General features: G+C 39.1%; 1 protein-coding gene across 14 annotated transcripts in view, besides 1 other annotated feature; it reads right to left on the minus strand.

Annotated features, from left to right (window-relative positions):
- Positions 1-21,462, minus strand: part of RPS6KA5 (ribosomal protein S6 kinase A5) — a 212,781-nt gene that overhangs the window by 132,571 nt on the left and 58,748 nt on the right. For 13 of the 14 annotated variants that reach the window (NM_001322232.2, NM_001322228.2, NM_001322236.2 and 10 more), the window contains one exon: positions 20,657-20,728. The exons of the other annotated variant lie outside the window; for it this stretch is intronic. In NM_001322232.2, coding sequence (NP_001309161.1) covers positions 20,657-20,728 — 72 coding nt within the window. The remainder of the gene's footprint in view (positions 1-20,656; positions 20,729-21,462) is intronic. 14 annotated transcript variants of the gene reach the window in all.
- Positions 5,568-5,617: an enhancer, noted in NCBI's record as "active region_8884". NCBI's record gives its function as "activates an Ori minimal core promoter by ATAC-STARR-seq in GM12878 lymphoblastoid cells {active_cell/tissue: GM12878}" and the evidence as "EXISTENCE:reporter gene assay evidence [ECO:0000049][PMID:35858748]".

Here is a 21,462-nt window from a genome sequence, read left to right on the forward strand (position 1 = left end):
TGTTCAGCTTCTTCCTAGTACATCTGTCCGCAACATAGGTGTTGACCATGTGACACACAGGCTGCTGGGTGTTCGAACCTAACATCTGAGTACTTGTCAGGCACTTATGATATAAACTCATTCGATTCTTACAACATTCCTATAAGGAGGTGAGAACTATTATCTCCATTTTATAAATGAAGAAACTGAAGTATAGAAGAGTTGGGTCACTTGTCCTAGATCACACTTGCCATTCAGTCTGACTCCTGGGCCAGTCTTACCTGTGGTCTACCTGCTTCACTTAAGTGAATGACCTCATAGGCAAATAAATAGGGAACCAGAGATTAAATAGAAGTCACAATGCAAGTTAGGTGTTTTAACAGTGAATGGACCCAGTGCTCCCTCTTCCAAGAGGAGGAAGTTTTGCAAAACGGCCCATTTTATTGATGGGAGGCTCTGTTTGAAAATCTTCCTTATATTGCCAGGCGTGGTGGCTCAGGCCTGTAATCCCAGCACTTTGGGAGGCTGAGGCAGGTGGATCACCTGAGGTCAGGAGTTTGAGACCAGCCTGATCAACATGGAGAAACCCTGTCTCTACTGAAAACACAAAATTAGCCGAGCATGGTGGCCTATGCCTGTAATCCCAGCTCCTCGGGAGGCTGAGGCAGGAGAATTGCTTGAACCTGGGAGATGGAGGTTGCAGTGAGCCGAGAGCGTGCCATCGCACTGCAGCCTGGGCAACAAGAGTGAAACTTAGTCTGAAAGAAAATCTTCTTTATATTGACTGGAAGCAGGCCATTTTATAATTTTCATTTGTCCTTCTATATCCTCTGGACTTAAAAAAGAGTATCACTCTTCTTCTATAAGATAATCTTTTAAATATTTAAAAGCACTATCATGTAATCTCCATACTCTTTCCTCCTTAAACCAATCTCAAAGTAAGATGACTCCGAGACCTCTCACCACTAGGAGGTCCCACTGATATGTTGTGTGGGGTTGTAAATATTTTTTTCTTTGATTTCTTTCTGTTACTTTAAAAACTATTGTATTTCACTCAAAATATGCATGAAGTAGCATAGGATGTCAATATATATGATCAAATAATATAAAATCATCCTGATTGCTATGTTACAATCTATATGGTCAAATAATACGCAATCATCCTTGCCATGTGATAACATCAAGAAGTTTCCCAATAATATGAATTAAAGACCACGTACTCTGCCAACGCAATTGTGTTCATCTATCAGACAATGTCAGGGAAAAACTATAATGAAGCTCACAAATATTTTGTTTTTACTTTTATAATTGCCATGATTAACATTTAAGCTACAATGCTTCACCACATGGTAAGTGCCAGTGGATGCTTATTACCAACATTCAAGGAGTGCCTTACGACATTCCAAACAATAAGTATTTCAGATAACGATCTTACTTCTAAGAAGGCTGTGTAACTAAAACATAGTTGCCTCCAAACAGTTTTGTTTTTGAAGCACCCATAAAGCTGTTTATCACATTGCCAAATGGGAAGAAAACACATTCCATACTGGAGAGAACTTAAAGAAGCCACCTTACCTGGTTAAGCTGGTTTATAGCTCAGAGCAGAGAAAGAAAGTAAAGTAGTCCTTCTGTTGAATAATGCTATCTATTCCAGACCACCTTTTTGTTCTCCAATATTTTAAGAGCGGCCATTGAAACTGGAACTGGTGGCAATATTCTTTTCTTTTAGTTTGCAACTGGATGAATGACTGCCTGCAAGTGCAGCCAACTCCTGCCTTTCATTCACTATGTGTGCCCTGACATTATTAGAGTAATCTTATTTTTAAAGTAATTTTAAGAAACTGCAAAGACTACCACAGTGAAAATTCCTTTGGCAAAAAAAAAAAAAAGATAAACAAAATAGGGACTGGGTTCAGTGGCTCATGCCTGTAATGCCAATACTTTGGGGGTCTGAGATAGAAGGATCACTTGAGGCTAGAAGTTTGAGACAGCAGTGAGCCATGATTGCACCACTGCACTACAGCCTGTGTGACAGAGCATGATCCTGTCTCCAAAGGAAGAAAAAAAAGATAAAACAATAGTACTTCCTGCTTGGATGGAGCTGCTTAAAGAAACTACCTTCATGCCTTACTAGGTATGACTCTCTAATTTCTGCATCAACATGCAATGGCATCAAATGCTCAATTAGCAATCCTCACAGAAGTCGTGTCTACCGCTGTTAATCTTATCAACTACATCAGAGCCAAGGTCTTTTCAAGATACTCTGTTAAGAAATATAAGCAAGGGGGCCGGGCGCAGTGGCTCACGCCTCTAATCCCAGCACTTTGGGAGGCCGGAGCGGGCGGATCACCTGAGGTCAGGAATTCGAGATCAGCCTCACCAACATGGTGAAACCCCGTCTCTACTAAAAATACAAAAGTTGGCCAGGCGCGGTGGTTCACGCCTGTAATCCCAGCACTTTGGGAGGCCGAGGCGGGCAGATCATGAGGTCAGGAGATGGAGACCATCCTGGCTAACACAGTGAAACCCCATCTCTACTAAAAATACAAAAAATTAGGCAGGGGTCGTGGTGGGCACCTGTGGTCCCAGCTGCTCGGGAGGCTGACGCAGGAGGATGGCATGAACCCAGGAGGTGGAGCTTGCAGTGAGCCAAGATCGTGCCACTGCACTCCGGCCTGGGCAACAGAGCGAGATTCCATCTCAAAAAAAAAAAAAAATTAGCTGGGCGTGGTGGCGGGTGCCTGGAATCCCAGCTACACAGGAGGCTAAGGCAGGAGAATCGCTTTAACCCAGGAGGCAAAGGTTGCAGTTAGCCAAGGTCGCGCCATTTCACTCCAGCCTGGGGGACAGAGCAGGACTCCATCTCAAAAAAAAAAAAAAAAGAAAGAAAGAAAAAAATATGAGCAAAGTATGGGCACAGTGGCTCATGTTAAAATCTCAGAAATTTGAGAAGCAGAGGCAGGCAAATCACTTGAGCCCAGGAGTTTAAGACAAACCTAGGCAACATAGGGAGACCCCGTCTCTACAAAGAACACAAAAATTATGTGGGTGTGGTGGGGCATGCCTGTGGTCCCAGCTACTTAGGAGGCTTAAGTGGGAGAATTGCTGGAACCCAGGAGGCAGAAGTTGCAGAGAGCTGAGATCGTGCCACTTGCACTCCAGCCTGGGCAACAGGGCAAAACTCTGTCTCAGGGGGAGAAAGAAGAAAGAAGAGAGAGAGAAAGAAAAGGAGAAAGAAAAAGAAAAAGGAAGAAGGAAAGAAAAGGGAAGGGAAGGGGAGGGGAAAGGGGCATCGGGAAAGGGGAATGGGGAAATGAAAAGCAAAAGAGAACATGAAGTTCTAAACACACTTTCTTTCTTTCCTTTCTTTCTTTCTTTCTCTCTCTCTCTCTCTCTCTCTCTCTCTGTCTCTCTCTCTCTCTCTCTCTCTTTCTTTTTTTCTTTCTTTCTTTCTGACCAAGTCTTGCTCTGTCGCCCAGACCGGAGTGCAGTGGCATGATCTTGGCTCACTGCAACCTCTCCCTTTTGGGTTCAAGCGATTCTCCCATCCCAGCCTCCGGATTAGCTGGGACTACAGGTGCCCACGACCACACCCAGCTAATTTTTGTATTTTTAGTAGAGATGGGGGTTTCACCATGTTGGCCAGGCTGGTCTCGAACTCCTGACCTCCGGTGATCCACCCGCCTTGGCTTCCCAAAGTGCTGGGATTACAGGCGTGAGCCACCACACTCGGCCTGAGATCATGAAGTTCACTGGTATTCCAGAGGACTAGTCCTGCAGTGTTTGACTGAACTTGAGGTAGAGGTTCTACTTTTTGAGACTGAGGGAAAGTACATTCTAAGAACAAATGACAGGAAGGATTACTTACTGATTTAGCTTGGCTGATATTTGAGACCAAATGAATGACGTAAATCTTTCAATTCATGGCCCTACAGACACCATTTTGAATGCTGCTGAAAACCTATGTGCTCTTTTAGCTAAACAGCCATTTCAGAAGAGAGAACTGGATCAACTATGTAAATTTTTCCAAAGCTGGATATACATTTCTATAGGTTGGAAGAACACTGCAGACATCTTATGAAGGTCGCTTCTGTTCAAACTGAAATGTGGATTTATAATTCTATTCTACCTGATGTAGACAGCAAAACGTTGACAATCTTTGCTGATAATGATTTCAGTGGCTTGACGATAAGAAATAATATATACTGAACCAAAGGAAGTGTCATAGAAAAATTTCTGGTTCCTTGGAGTAGGTTTCTTTTCAGCTTGCTTTTCCAAATGTGTGGCTCTTATTCCATTTGCCACAATTATTGTGAACCAGGTTTTAAGCACTTATGGCTATAATAAAGAAAAGTTAAAAATGACTGACAGTTTTAAAACAAGAAGACATCCATGCTGCCATGTCAGAAACCACTGCACAATTCCAACTTATTTTTTAAGCCAAGCCAAAGCAGTCTTCTTGAGCATAAACTTATCTTTCATTTTATTTGCAAAATTTGAATTTATTAAACATGTTCATAAGTAGCCTTTAATCTTTTTTTTTTTTTGAGACGGAGTTTTGCTCCTGTTGCCCAGGCTGGAGTGCAATGGCACGATCTTGGCTCACCACAACCTCCACCTTCTGGGTTCAAGCAATTCTCCTACCTCAGCTTCCCAAGTAGCTGGGATTACAACGCATGCGCCACCACGCCCATCTAATTTTTTGTATTTTTAGTAGAAATGGGGTTTTTCCATGTTAGTCAGGCTGGTCTCGAACTACCTACCTCAGGTGATCTGCCCACCTCGGCCTCCCAAAGTGCTGGGATTACAGGTGTGAGCCACTGCGCCCGGCCGCCTTTAATTTTTACATTAAAATGGTATGAGGTTAATTTGTTAGAAAATATTTTTAATTTGTAAAAACAATCAATTTAAAATGTAACATAATTAAATGCATGCAAAATTTTGTGTGTGTACACGTTTACATGCATTATTCTGAAGGGGCAACCACGAGCCAGGAATAAGAGCCATTGTTCAGAGGCCCCTGCTTTACGTCCTTCCTTGTTGTGCTCAACTTGGACATGCTGTTCTCACTAGGACCTGAATGGCTCAACCAAGGTGAGAGCAATGTTTTCTTTCACTCAAACTTTTGTTAATGCAGCTTAAAATTATACCTTGAATAGAATGTTTACTAGCCATGCTGCACTTTGGGTTCATAACAAACTTATTAACTATTGAACTTGAACTACCACTTAAAAAATACAGTAGAAATGCTCTTAAGTGACTTATACTTAGCCAGCTCCTAAGACCAACTTAGTCTTATACTCCCCTTTCCCTCTGAAAACACCCACTGCACACTGACAATCTATGACTAGTTTACATGTGTATTTCTGCACCCATGCAGTTCCATGCCAGTCACTGATACTTGTTGCTTTGCCTATTTCTACTTGTTGTATCTGTTATTCTTATTATGTAAATTCATTAAATATTACATGAACCACTGAAATGTGCATGCCAAAGAGAAAAATGAGGATGAATGCTTTGAAAGGACTAGATAAAAGCAAAACACTTTAAAGAAAGGAACTGCTGAAAAATTAGGTGTGAGTGAAACAACTATAAAAGGCTAGGGGGAGTATTCAGACTACTTAAAATCTGGCTAGTTCTCACTCTAAAGAACCTGAAACTGTTATTTTTAGATGATGGATTCAACCGTGGTTTATGCAAAATAAACTGTTTATTAACCTACATTCAGAGTCCTGTGCTTACATCCAAAGATTCACAAGTGAAGTACTCTTATACATTTTAAGTAAAAAATGTTCAAAAAATATATAATGATTTTTAAATGATTCACACTTGAACCAACTTTTTAAAATTACCTACACATACCAACTGTGTCATACGAGAGAATTTCTACTAACTGAAGAATCATATTAATCACTCCTAAAATTAATCTTTCCAGATTACTGGAATCTTGTGAAATGGTGACTTGGTCATCCACCACACTAGCTATGCCTCCAGGTGTGCTTATTTCAATCTGGTAAACATGATTACCAGAGCATCTTACTAAAAAAAAAAAATACGTTAAAATAAGAATCAAAAGAAGACTAAGATGCATATTCATAAATAATTCTCTATTTATATCTCAAAAGACAAGCTGTTTGCCTAACTAAATAGTGATGTCTTAACTGCTGGAGTTAATGACCACCTGTAGTGGGTGCTGATGGTGTTCTGCCAGGTCCCCTTTACAGGCCGGTGCATCTATTCTCCAGCTGCTGTGAGTGTTGGCTGCTGGAGAAAGGCCTCAGGTAGACAGGGGCCACCACACCTGGAAGGTTACATGCCATCATTCTCTACTCCACCCTCACTCAAGCAGCCTGCAGCCAATGACTAACACAGGTATGAAAGGCCTGCCTCTTTGCTCTTGCTCCAAAACTTCCCATGAGTCCAGGCTGAATCCAGACCACTGCTTAGACCACATGCCTGTTTAGGCTAGTCTCCTGACCACCCTCCTTCCCTCACTCTTGTTCTCCTGAGAGTGCTCCTGCAGTAAATCACATAAATCCAAATCCATGTCCCGGGATCTGCTTCTAGCTAACATGACCTAACATAGTATCAATAATAAATAAAATTGTATTTACACTAGAGAGACAATGTCATTTGACACCTTCATATGGAATCATCTTTTTATTATGGCATAAAACATCACAAACATTTAACCTCTAAGACTTACATAAACATTGTAGGCTTACACTGAAGCATAAGGTATAGTGGGTATACACATACACAAATGCAAAATTATAAATTTTTTGAATGACAATTTTGACAATTTAATGAATACATGCTTTTAAAGGTATTATTTTAATACGGATACTTTCCAAACACTTAAAAGAATAAAATGACAAATGATGACTAAGTCATCATACTTTTTAAAACACTCTTTTAAATGACTCAACCAAAGTATTTTTCCCTCTATCATGTCATCAAAAAGTAGCAATGTCTTTAAGTTGCCTAGTGCAATTTACAGCATCCTCTAGTAACAAATTACCCATGAGAAACAAGTATGTCTCATTTAATAAATGAAATGTGTTACTCTAAATCTGTAGTAAAAAAAAGATTGGAGGGAAAAAAAGCTATCTTATCAGGAATATTCATAGAGTCTGGGACCAATGAGTAAAGAAATATCACAAATTACATTTCAAGATGGCACTGAAGGCTGGGGAAAGCAGCCCAAAGACCGCCTCAACTGGAAAAACAGTATTTCCACAGAGCAAACTTACAAGATCTGCTGTTGATTAGATGACAGCAGCAGCAGCCACAACAACAACAACAACAACAACAACAAAGGATATCCACATAAGGAAAAAGTGAACTTCTTAAAGAGGACACCAGGGACCAAGGTAGACACAAATGGTTACTGCTCATTAGACACTATCATAAGCAAGGCCCTCTGAATTTCTATACTTTGCCAGCACTCACTCCAAGGTTTCATAAACTCACAAATAACTCTGCATTACATGAAGACCAGCTCCATACTATTCCATTTACAAGGTTCTATGTTGTATGGTGTGTGTGTGTGTATAACATATACATACTTAATACTCACTACTCTTATCTCCAGCACCCAGAACAGTGTCTGCCTCTTGGTAAATACAAATGAATGAATGAATCCCAAGACCAACGGGAATGAACTGAAAGGTTTTAAATTGAGAAGCGACATAATCAAATTTGCCCATCAGAAAAATCATTCTGGCTCTAGAATGGAAATAAATGCATCAGCAAGGCCTGAAACCAGGAAGACCTTTGGTGGTTGTTATTTCTCTATTTACTGCAGGACACATTTTAGGCTTTACAAAAAATACTCATTAAGAAATGACATTCACTTATGTATAAAGCTAAGCTGAAAGCTTGGTAATGTATTACATCAGCTCTTTTAGAAGCTGAACTACATTCCCTTTCAGCTTCCCCAATAATAGCTAAAACTGAAAAACAAAATAGCTAAAACTTACATAGCATTTATTATGTGTCAGGCAATCAAAACATTTTATTACTCATATCATGTATATCTTAGGAGAGGAATGTTAACCTATACTACACTAAGATGGTTCAGAATCTAAGATGCTTGAATACATTTGTTTGATACAAATAAGAGGCTGGGCATGGTGGCTCACACCTGTAATCCCAGCACTTTGGGAGGCCGAGGCGGGTGCATCACCTGAGGTCAGGTGAGACCAGCCTGGCCAACTTGGTGAAACGCCGTCTCTACTAAAAATACAAAAATTAGCCAGGCATGGTGGCGGGCGTCTGTAATCCTAGCTACTCAGGAGGCTGAGGCAGGAGCATTGCTTGAATCCGGGAGGCGGAGGTTGCAGTGAGCTGAGATCATGCCACTGCACTCCAGTCTGTGCAACAGAGCAAGACTCCATCTCAAAAAAATAAATAAATAAATAAATAACAAAGAAATATAATCTTTCCATTTGACATGTTATGCTTAAGGTAACATACAAATCAACTTCTTGTAAATGCTAACAAAATTGCAATTAGCAACATCTCATTTATGAGGTATTTTCTCACTTGTTAAATTTTTATTAAAAATATCACTTTAGTTGAAATTACTCCCAGAGATGCTAATAAAGTAAGTGACTATATAAAATAATAAATAAATAATCTCTTCTTATGAGTAAGTCCTAAATAATTTTGTTTTTTCAATTTAGGTTACAGCTTTACAATGGAGTTCCCTGTTCAATAACCATAACCCATGGTTATCTAGTAATTGGCAATTCATATCCATTATCTCATTAAACTTATAACAACATTGTGAGATAGGTATTATTATAATAACTTATGCCAAAGGGACTTGGGCTCACAGAGTTCATATGATTAACTCAAGAAACTCAAGTAAACAACAAGAGTGTCAAGATGCAAACTTGAGTCTTCTACGTCATCCTCGATACTCAAGTACTCTACAACCGTGTGAAAGCACCAAAACCAGAAGAGTGAATCAACTTGGCTGCATCCTTTACTCTTACATGGCAAAATTTTTCTTTTTTCCTTTTTGTCATGGTAAGACAAGACATCAGCTCTTCAAAGTACATGACCATTTATGATAAAAAAAGAAAATTCAGAGAATACTAAAGTCTTTAGCTGAGACCTTCATGCTGCACTTCATTATTAGAATTACTGATAATGCACACCCACAGGTACATTTAAACATTTTCTTCTCCCATACTTGGACAGATATCTCAAAGAAGGCAAAATGGTCAAAAGGAAGGCAGCAGAGAGATTAAAAAAGAAATAAAAATATAATCATTATTCCCCAAAATAACCCAAAATTTCATCATCAAACAAATTCTAAAAGATGAGCCAAAGATATTTCCTGGGCTTTTGGGTATCAATCTGAAGAATAATGCTAAAGACAACAGCATAAATGACATACTTGATAGACTATTATTATACTTCACACAATGCTGGATTATGGGCAGGTAGGGGGACAGGGCAACAGGGTTGGAAAAATATACAGGGATGATCGTAAGAGCTTACAATCCAGAGGAAAGATTGCAGATGTGAAGGAAAATTCAGAGAACAAGTCAGTGCTATGCTCTCTATGGAGGGCTCTCAGTGCAACAATTCAGAGAATAAAGCAATTTGGGCAGGATTTGGACAGGTGGAAAAAAAGATGAGCACTACCAATGGGGGGACAAGATAAGGCAGGGCATCAGAGGGTGGAAAAGTACACATAATTGTAGGCAAGTGAAGGAAAATAAAGTGGACTAGAAAGTAGGCGGACAAATCAACAAGCAAAAAACAAACGATCCCATTAAAAAATGGGCAAAGGATATGAATAGATCCTTCTCAAAAGAAAACATACACATTGCCAACAAGCATATGAAAAAATGTTCAACATCACTAATCATCAGAGAAACGCAAATAAAAACCACAATGAGATACCATCTCACACCAGTCAGAAGGGCTATTATTCAAAAGCCAAAAAATAACAGATACTGGTGAGGTTGTGGAGAAAACAAAATGTTTATACACTGCTAGTGGGAATGTAAATTACATCAGCCACTGTGGAAAGCAGTTGAAATTTTTCAAAGAACTTAAAACAGAAATACCACTCAACCCAGAAATCCCATTACTGGGTATATACACAAAGGAATATAAATCATTCTACCAAAAAGACATATGTACTCATATGTTCATTGCATGTTCACTGCAGCACTATTCAAAATAGCAAAGACATGGAATCAACCTAGACGCCCATCAATGGTGGACTGGATAAAGAAAATATGGTACATGTACACCACAGAATACTATGCAGCCATTTTAAAAAATGAAATCATGTCCTTTGCAGCAACACGGATACAGCTGGAGACCATTTTCCTAAGCAAACTGATGTAGGAAAAGAAAATGATCTCACTTATAAGTGGGAGCTAAATATTGAGTACACATGGAAATAAAAATGGAAAGAATAGATACTAGGGCCTACTTGAGGGGAGAGGGTAGGAGAAGGGTGATGGTTGAAAAACTACATATAGGGTACTATGCTCACTACCTAGGTGACAAAATCATTTTTACACCAAACACCAGCGACAGGCAATTTATTCAGGTAACAAACCTGAACATGTACCCCCAAACCTAAAATAAAAGTTGGGGAAAAAAATAGAAAGTAGGCAGAATATCAGGGTAAGCTGGGCGAAAAAAGACAGGGGAAACTGAAAGCAAGGCAAGAATTTGGGCTTGAATAGTTAAATGGGAAAAAATGCAGTATATGTTCTTAAATAGAAAAACTGCACGAAAATGTTGTATTTTAGCAAGACTGTATATTACGTATAACAGCATATGATATTAAAATGCACAAATGGAAGAGAGCCTACAGAAAGGCAGACAGGTTAAGACACCCCTTGAAAGAATCCATGCATAAGGTAAAATGAGTGATGGCACTTTCCGTTCTTAGGCCCAGAAAAGGTAAATCCAAGGATCACTTTAAGGGGAAAATTATAGGACTTTGTGAGAAAATAGAAGTAAAGAGGCTGGGCTGGGCGCAGCAGCTGATACCTGTAATCCCAACACTTTGGAAGGCCGAGGCAGGTGGGTCACTTGAGGTCAGGAGTTTGAGACCAGCCTGGCTAACATGGTGAAACCCTGTCTCTACTAAAAATACAAAAATTATCCGGGCATGGTGGTGCACATTTGTAATCCCAGTTACTCGGGAGGCTGAGGCAGGAAAATAGCTTGAACTTGGGAGGCAGAGGTTGCAGTGAGCTGAGATCACACCACTGAACTTCAGCCTGGGTGACAGAGTGAGACTCCATCTCAAAAAAAAAAAAAAAAAAAGAAGAGAGATAAAGAGGTCAAAATAGATAGAGAAGAATCCAAAAAGAATCCAAAATTATTTAAAAGTTTCTAGCTCAGAAAACTGATCAAGGTTAGTGATAGGCCAAAGGAAACCAGATAGTTCAAGAGAAGCAAGTCAATCTGAGTAAAAAAGAGTTTTATGCATATTAGATGTATTTAAGTGTCAAAAAGTAAATCTTTGATATTCAAATATTCCACAGTCTTCAAGATATTTGATGAATAGCATTTTTTTCTAGTTTAAATATATAGAAATTAATTCATCAGAAGAGTTTTCAGTTTCATTTCCAAAGAAAACCTTACATGACACATGAAGACATCTGATGAGTCTTTCCTATTATTCTAAGTAGTGCTGAAAAAAATTTATCTTAAAAAGGTAATGAAACTGAAAGATTAGTGGTAAAATTTTTGAATAAAAATTGAGATTTTATTATATTCATTATAAAAGCTTCCACCTACTCCATTTAGTCATCAAAACTGTGATTTTTTAAAGGCAGATATACTTACAATGACATTTCTTAGTTATCCCATCTTCTCATAAGAGACTACACTGTCAGCTGGCAAAAAGGAAAAGCAGTCTCCATGGCTGACAACTGATCCATTATAAAACAGTGCACACACACAAAATGGAAATACAAAGGTAAAACATTACAGGTAAACTGTTTCCTTACCTTTACAGAATTGTCTTCAAGGCCTGTAACCAAACTACTCAGTGCAGATGTATAATAGATAATGAGTCAAAGTATTCAATGTGTTGAAAGAAAATACACACAAGGTTTGACTATATAAATTTGATATTAAAAATTTCACATATATAAAATGGGCTGATAATCTGCCTTCTTTATACTGTCCTAGTGTGTTTTTTGGAATCAAGGTTACACTGGACTCATACAATGAGTTGGAGGAAATAATCCCCCTTTTCCTGTTTTCTGAAAGAGTTTGTGGAAGATCAGAATTATCTATGCCTTGAATGTGTGGCAGAACTCATTCTTAAAACTGTACTGAGTGTCTTCCCAGCAAGAGGATTTTTGCTTACTGACCAATCTCTTTAACAGTTATAGGACTATGTAGGTTTCTCACACCTTTTTTCAATCAGTTTGGTAATTTACACATTTCAAGATTACTGTGCATGTTAAACTTTGAGGAACATTACTTCAGGAAACTAACTCCTGTCACCTCCCAAATTAAATGCTATTTTGTCCAATTTTTCAGTTTTCTTTTTTCAACTCCACAAATGAGACATCGTGACGAGAGCTTTACACAGTCAGTATGCTTTAGACTGTTTGTTCAGTAATTCTTTTTGCATCTCGGAAAATTCTCCAGGGATTATTTTCCTTCTTCCTAAAACTACTTCTTTTAAAATTCTCATAGGGGACCTATTGGTAGAAAACTCACTCAGCTTTTGTATGTTTGAAAATGTTGGCTGGGCGTGGTGGCTCACACCTGTAATCCCAACACTTTGGGAGGCCGAGGTGGGCAGATCATGAGGTCAGGAGTTCGAGATCGGCCTGGCTAATATGGTGAAACCCCATCTCTACTAAAAATACAAAAATTAGCCAGCCATGGTGGCATGAGCCTGTAGTCCCAGCTACTCAGGGGGCTGAGGCAGGAGAATCACTTGAACCCAGGAGGCGGAGGTTACAGTGAGCTAAGATCGTGCCACTGCACTCCAGCCTGGGTGACAGAGCAAGACTCCGTCTCAAAAAAAACAACAAGACAGAGCAAGACTCCGTCTCAAAAAGAACAACAACAACAACAAGTGTCTTTTTGCCACACTTAGGGAAAACAGTTTTGCTGAGTATACAAGTGTAGATTAACAGTTATTTTCTCTGGGCATTTTGAAGATATTATTCCACTTTACATGGCTTCCAGGGTTGCTGTTGTAAAGTCCACTGTTAAACTAATTGTTGTTCCTTTATAAATAAGTCTTTTCTCTTTGACTGCTTTTCAGGTATTTCTCTGTCTCATGTTCATCAGTTTCTCTCTGATGTATCTACATAAGAATTTCTTTATACTTGTATGCAAGTACTTGTATTTGCTCTCTGCAAATTCACGTTTAATCCTGTAAACTCCCAGCTATTATTTCTTTGAACAGTGCCTCTACTCATTCTATAAGCTCCTTCTGAAAGTCTGATTAGAAAAATGTTGTATCTTCTCTATCTATTCTCTATTTTTTTTTTTTTGAGACAACCCAGGCTGGAGTGTAGTGATGTGATCATAACTCACCGTGGCCTTAACCTCCCAGGCTCAGACAACCCTCTCACCTCAGCCTCCTGAATGGCTAGGACTACAGTCATGCATGCACCACCATGCCCAGCTAAGTTAGTTTGTTTTTCTAGAGGCAGGGTCTCACTATGTTGCCCAGACAGATGGGGATTCTCCCACCTCAGCTTCCCAAAGTGCTGGGATTACAGCTGTGAGCCACCACACCCGGCCTATCCTCTATATCTTAATAGTCCTCTCATATGCTATCTCTTTTTTCTCCATTCTATATTCTGCATATTTTCTTCAAATCTATCTTCCAATCCACAATAATTTTCTCTTTAGCTATATCTCATCTACCAGTAAAGCATCCATTAAGTTTATACTTTGAATTGTTTTTTTTTCACTCCTAGAAGGACTACTGGTTCTTTCTCCAATCTGTCTGGTCATTTTTTTAGCATGTATTATTCCGTAATATTACAATCAAATCTCTTCTTAATTAAAAACATACACATTTATATTTTATATCTAATAATTCCAACAGTCTCTTTAGGTCTAATTCTATTATTTGTTGTTTCCACTTCTTTCACTCATAGTGCTTTGCTTCTTGGATGTTTGTGATTTTTTTTTTTTTTTTTTTTTTTTTTTTGAGACTGAGTCTCACTCTGTCGCCCAGGCTGGAGTGCAGTGGTGTGATCTCAGCTCACTGCAAGCTCCGCCTGCTGGGTTCATGCCATTCTCCTGTCTCAGCCTCCCAACTAGCTGGGAGTACAGGTGCCCGCCACCATGCCCGGCTAATTTTTTTTTGTTTTTAGTAGAGACGGGGTTTAACCGTGTTAGCCAGGATGGTCTCGATCTCCTGACCTCATGATCCGCCTGCCTCGGCCTCCCAAAGTGCTGGGATTACAGGCGTGAGCCACCGCACACGGCTGGTGTTTGTAATTTTTGATAGTAAAATCATGTCTGTAAAACTTTCTTTGCTATTTCCTTAAGATCTAAGTAAATCCTCCAGAGAAGATTTACATTTGCTTTGCTAGTGCTGTTGGGAACACTACCAATTCATAAGTAGAATAAACTAAATTCATACTTGCTTGTGTGTGGTTTTTTGTTTTGTTTTGTTTTTAATATAAGACGGAGTCTTGCTCTGTGCAGTGGCTCACTGCAACCTCCACCTCCCAGATTCAAGCAATTCTCCCTGCCTTGGCCTCCACAGTAGGTGGGATTACAGGTGCCCGCCACAACGCCTGGCTAATTTTTGTATTTTTAGTAGAGATGGGGTGTTCCCATGCTGGCCTCAGCCTCCCAAAGTGCTGTGATTACAAGCACGAGCCACCGTGCCTGGCCAGGATTTTTCTTTTTTTAAATCACATAAGTGGATAACAAACTGAAGTTGCAAACCTGTATGATGTTTGGTTTAAGGTTATGACTCACGGAAGGCTTTTACTGCTTATTTGTTTCCTTCACCCGAAGCCAATGCTAAGCCAGAAAAGTTTCCCCTCTATCTCCCTTTGCAGGCTAGATTTTTATTTTCTCATTTACTGTTTTACTGAGCAGTAGCCTTCTCTACCGCTTGAGTGCCTTAGAAGCTGTCTCCTATATATGAAGTATGAAAATGGTAAACCCAAAGAACTAGCTCGGAATTCACTGGTGGATTTCTCCAGCATAACTTCTGCCCTCAGGCAGCTTATTTGCTTCTCTAAATTCCTGCTCCCATTTTATTTTTTCAAGCTTAAGAATTTTCCTTACTTTTGCCAGGTAATCTAAGCAGTTGATAGAAAGACTACTCAACTGCATAGATACCTGGCAAGAGTAAGGAAAATTCCTTATCTAGCACTTTAGAGGTTTAATAATGATTGTGGCTACATGCAGTGACTCATGCCTGTAATCCCAGCACTTTGGGAAGCCAAGGCAGGAGGATTACTTGGGCCCAGGAGTTTGAAGCCAGCCTGGGCAACATAACGAGACCCTGTCTCTACTAAATAAGTAAATAAGCAAGCAAGCTGAGTGTGTTGGCACATGGTTGCAGTCTCAGCTACTCACGAGGTGGAAGTGAAAGGACTGCTTGAGCCCAGAAGTTCAAAACTATAGTGAGACAGGGTCTCGCTCTATCTCCCAGGCTGGAGAGCAATGGCACAATCATGGCTCACTGTAGCCTCAACCTTCCAGACTCAAGAGATATTCCTACCTCAGCATCCCTAGTAGCTGGGACTATAAGCGAGTGTCACAACAGCCCAGGCTAATTTGTTTTTTTTGTTTTTTTTTTTGTTTTTTTTTTCAGTAGAGATGAAGTCTCGCTATGTTGCCCAGGCTAGTCTTGAACTCCTGGGCTCAACTGATCCTCCCACCTCAGCCTCTCAAAGTGCTGAGATTACAGGCATAAGCCATTGCACCAGGCCTGCATGCATTAAATTAACAGATCAATGAATAGGATTAGTCTCATGGTTCTTGTTATGTACTATAAAATTCAATGGTGAAATTAATCATTAATATTACATTTTAATAGTGTCCTTGAAAGTTCTGTAGATGCTATGTCTATTTTGCTATAGAGAAGTTATCTGTTATTACAGATTAAAGTTGTTTAGCTTTGACCATATCTAGAATAAAACATCATCTCAGAGATAACGTTTTCTTTTAAAAACAGCTATAAATCTATTTTTAAAATAAAATAAATAATAATTGGGTTAATCAAAAGTATATAAACAGTAGTTTCATTTGATCAATTGTACTAATATTTTTACTACGTTTTGCTTTTGATAAAAAACATAAAAACTGACATTTCTAAAACTTTAATATGAAAAAAGAATCTCTAAAGCATGGAAAGTCAGGTAAACATTGCAAATAAGAATAGCAATTTGTTTTCAAATTTTCAAGGATCTTTATAGAGATCCCTTATTATATGGAATAAGTATACTCATCCATTCATTCAAAAATATTTGAGAAACTGCTATGCATAAGTTAACCCACTAAGAAAATTTGTTTACCCAAACCCTATTTTTCTGGCAATTTTACATTACTGAATTATAGATGAGTTAGATGGAATTCTGCCATCTAAATAAATGGCAGATGGCAAGAAACATGCCAAGACACTATGAACTCTTCAGGCAATATAGATTATGATTAAAGTATAAGCATATAATATTTTTCTATCACAGACTTCTTCCTGTTTTAAAATTGTTTAACCTAACCTGTAGTAAAAAAGGAAGACGACCATTCAGATTTCTTCCTGTTTTAAAATTATTTAACCTGACCTGTAGTAAAAAAGGAAGAAGATCATTCTCACTTCAAAGATTACTTTAAACAGAACTTGAGAGAATTTATAGAACCTTGTATTCAAAATATTTAAAAGTGTGCATGACTTTTTATAAAGTACCTGAAAATGAAAAAAACATATGTTCATACAAAAACTTGTACATGAATGTTCATAGCAGCATTATATTCATGTATTTGTTTATCTTTTAGAGAGACGGTCTTGCTCTGTTGCCTAGGGTGGAGTACAGTGGCACAATCATGGCATACTGCAGCCTCAAACTCCTGTTCAAGCAATCCTCCCACCTCAGCCTCCCAAGTAGCTAGGAATACAGGCACATATCACACCATGCCCAACCAATTTTTTAATTTTGGCAAGATGGGGAGTCTCACTATTTTGCCCAGGCTAGTCTCCAAAGCAGCATTATTTATAACAGCCAAAAGATGGAAACAACCCAAATGCCCATCTCCTGATGAACAGAGAAACAAAATGTGGTATATCTGTACAATGAAACAGTAAGTCATAAAAAGTATGAAGTACTGGCCAGGCAGGGTGGCTCACGCCTGTAATTCCAGCACTTTGGGAGGCCAAGGCGGGCAGATCGCCTGAGGTCAGGAGTTCGAGACCAATCTGGCCAACATAGTGAAACCCCGTCTCTATTAAAAATACAAAAAAATTAGCCGAGCGTGGTGGTGTGCGCCTGTAATCTCAGCTACTCCGGAGGCTGAGGCAGGGGAATTACTTGAACCAGGGAGGTGGAGGTTGCTGTGAGATTGCGCCACTGCACTCCAACCTGGGTGGCACAGCGAGACTCTGTCTGAAAAAAAAAAAAAAAAAAAAAAAGTATGAAGTAGTGATGTGTACTACAATATGAATGAACCTAGAAAACATTATGTTAAGTGAAAGAAGCTGGTCACCAGGGACTACACATTTGTATGTTTACCTTTATATGAAATGCCTAGAAGAGGCAAATATATAGATAAAAAAGTCAGTTAGTGGTTGTTTAGGACTGGGGAGGATGGTGAGCTTGCTTGGGCATTAATAGCTAAAGGGTTCAGGGTTTCTTTCTGAAGTAAGGAAAATGTTATAAAACTGACTGTTATAAAATTGCTGCACAACTTTGTGAATATACTAAAACCACTGAATTGCACACTTTAAATGATGGAACAATATGGTACGTGAGTTATATCTCAATAAAGTTGTTACCAAGAAAGCCACATACAGACAAAACAGATAAAAACATGCAGATAAAACAGCTATTATAAAAACAATCTATAATATATATCAACCTTAAGAACTTTTGACCAGATGTCACAAAGCACTATTTTTAAGGGAACTGAGTCACCACAGAACTGTGATCCTCTTTCCCCTTTGAGTAGATATTGCCTTTGAAACAGGAAACAAAGGTAGGAATAAAGGGTATTATTTTGATATTTTGAAAGCATGATTTCTTAGGAATACAGTGGGGTAGAGCTTGGATTTTTAAAAAATACATTTGAACAAATTATTTGAAGGTGGAAATGTACAATAACATCTCCAAGTTGACAGTTACACTAAATTTCTGACAATAACATGCTTAGTTGATGGGAATAAACTATTCATTTTGCTTATTCACTGGTAGCTGTAAAGATTGGGCCTATATGGCATGCTAAACTACTCAGGGAGGTTATAAAGACCTCATACAGCAGGGCCGTAGACATGAAGGCTCATTACTAAATGACCTAAAGACAGCTTACATAAGCGAACTTAGACATGAGGCAGGCCGGGCGTGATGGCTCACGTCTGTAATACCAGCACTTTGGGAGGCTGAGGAGGGTGGATCACGAGGTCAGGAGTTCAAGACCAGCCTAGTCAAAACGGTGAAACCCGAATTAGCTGGGCATGGTGGTGCATGTCTATAATTCCAGCTACTCAGGAGGCTGAGGCAGAAGAATCACTTGAACCCAGGAGGCAGAAGTTGCAGTGAGCCAAGATCGAGTCACTACACTCCAGCCTGGGCGACACAGCTAGGCTTCATCTCAAAAAAACAAAAAAACAAAAAACAAAAAAACAAACAGACATGAAGCTAGGGAAGTGGCTGGTATTGATTACAGAGGCCCCAAGAGAAAGGCTTTCTTTCTTGCTATAATGTTTGGCATTTTGGAAGGGATGGGCAGATACCCTTATATGGACAGGTGTAATCCATCCTGTCAGGCGCTAGAACACTCAGGTCCCTGAGAGTGTGACGCTAAACTGCAGCGGGGAAGAAAAATGGTCTGTCCTCTGATGCTCTCCCTGGTCTTCCAGGAAAAGAGATCTAGGCCTGCTGAGAATGGGGAGGAGGAGGGGGAGGGGAAGAGTTAAAGGCCTCCTTTGTATCTTGACCTGATGGGAGAAAAATGACAGAAGCCAGTTCTCACAGCAGCGGTGGCTGCAGAGCAACACAGTCCAGGACAGGGAGAGAACTGAGTAGGAAACATACACATGACAAGAAGCTGCATAAATGGCAAGGCCTAGTGTAAAATGAAAATGCGGGTGCCTTGTTCATGAATTACTAATAATTTCAGAACAGTGACAGCAGAGCATTACACCAAACATGGGGCTCTTCTACATGCAGGGATCTCTACAACTGCATAGGTCACATCCCCCTTAAGTCAGCCCTGATTTCTGAGCAGCGAAAGCGGTGGTAGCAAAAATTCAGAAGGCAAAGGAAAGTTACAAAGCAGAAAACCAAGATCATGTAAAATCCCGCTACCACTAAGATTTTAGTGTATATAACCATGTACATCCCGGAGAATTTTCTTTATTTTTTGTTGAGATGAGGTCTCACTATGTTTCCCAAGCTGGTCTTGAACTCCTGGCCTCAAGGGCTTCTCCCATCTTGGCCTCCCAAAGTGCCTCCCAAAGTGCTGTGGTGGCATAAGCCACCACGCCCGGGCACCTAGAGATTTTTCTGCATACAAATATACACGCAGATATTTTCCATATCCATATACACATGTAGATATTTATATTTATTCATATAATGTTTTGTATATTGTACATTCTCTTCTGTAGCTTTTTAAAAACTTATTTTGGAGAGCTTTCCAAAATATTAAATAAAAGTAGATCATTTTAATCTATTATATACATTATAGAACATAGAGATCCATGTTCCATTTAACCAAAGCCCTATTGTTGGGTTTCTAAACAGTCCTGGGTTTTTCATTATTACAAATTACGTTCATTGAGTATCAACTGAGTTGAACAAAGATTGAATAAGACAATCAATACAAAGCCCTCCACAGAGTACTTGGCATCTAACAAGCACTCTATCAATGTTAGTGATTTTTTAAAATATTGTGTCCTGGCTGGGCGCAGTGGCTCATGCCTATAATCCCAGCCCTCTGGGAGGCAGAAGAGGGCGGATTACTTGAGGTCAGGAGTTCGAGACCAACCTGGCCTCGAACAACATGGTGAAACCCCGTCTCTACTAAAAATACAAAATTAGCTGGGCGTGGTAGAAGGCGCCTGTAATCCCAGCTACTCAGGAGGCTGAGGCAGGAGAATCGCTTGAACCCAGGAAGCAGAGGTTGCAGTGAGCTGAGATCACGCCACCACACTCCAGCCTGGGCGACAGAGCTAGACTCCGTCTCAAAAAAAATAAAATAAAATAAAATATTGTGTCCTGTGTAAAGGCTGAACTAATTTACATTCCCAACAGCAGGGTAAAAGGGATTGGTTTCCCTAAATCCTTGCCAATTCTTTTTATTTTTGCCTTTTGTGCTTCTATGAATGGTCTGTTCATGTTCTTTGACAGTTCTCCTAATGGATTCCTCATGCTTTTTAAATTTTAATTTCTGTATTGGGGATATCAATCCTTCATCATAGGAATAATAAGTACTTTTTTTTTTCCTTAAATATAATTAACTTAAGACTTACCTCCAGTTCCTAGGACCTTCAGGAGCTCAAAATTTTCTATTCCCACCTTCTCAGCATGTCCTGTCAAATTAGCTAAAAGAAAAAAAGAGGAAAAAAAAAACAAGAGGGTCAGCAATAGAAGGAGGCTCCTGGGGGATTCTTGTGTACCAGCGACGCTCTATTTCTTGACTTGAGTGATTAACCAGGGTTTGCTTTATAATTATTTGTTAAACAGTATAGCATATTTTGCATAAATTTCTGTATGTTATGCATTACAATAAAACTTTTTTTGGAATTTAGGAACTATATATATCATTTGTACCAAATATTAACATAAATTAAAGTGTTTATTAGACTCTCTACTGACCAATATACTCCAAAAATAAATAAAAATTCTAATATGTAGATAGATACATAGTGGGGAAAAAACTGGATGGATTGAGAAGATGTATTTATGATTCGACAAACATTTACTGAGTATCTATTAAATGCCATCCCCAGGTTCTAGGGTAAGTTCTAGTTCCATTTCTGCCACTAAATACCTGGACACGATATAGTATGCATTCGTCACTTCAATACTCTATGTCTCCATTACTACATCTCTGAAATGAAAGTGTTGGTCTCAATGAACTCTAGGATCCCTGTCAGCTCTAAAATTCTAGGACTATGTTTAAAAATATAAACTCTTCAAAGATATATTGTCTTGAATAAATAAAATTAGGATCTCTTATAAATTAGCATTTTCCATAACATATTCCATTGAATTCTAGTCCTATCCTATAATAGGTGTTCTGTTAGGGGGAGATGTGGGGAGCAGAGTGCTTTGG

Source organism: Homo sapiens, chromosome 14, assembly GCF_000001405.40.
Source record: "Homo sapiens chromosome 14, GRCh38.p14 Primary Assembly".
Classification (NCBI taxonomy): Eukaryota; Metazoa; Chordata; class Mammalia; order Primates; family Hominidae; genus Homo; species Homo sapiens.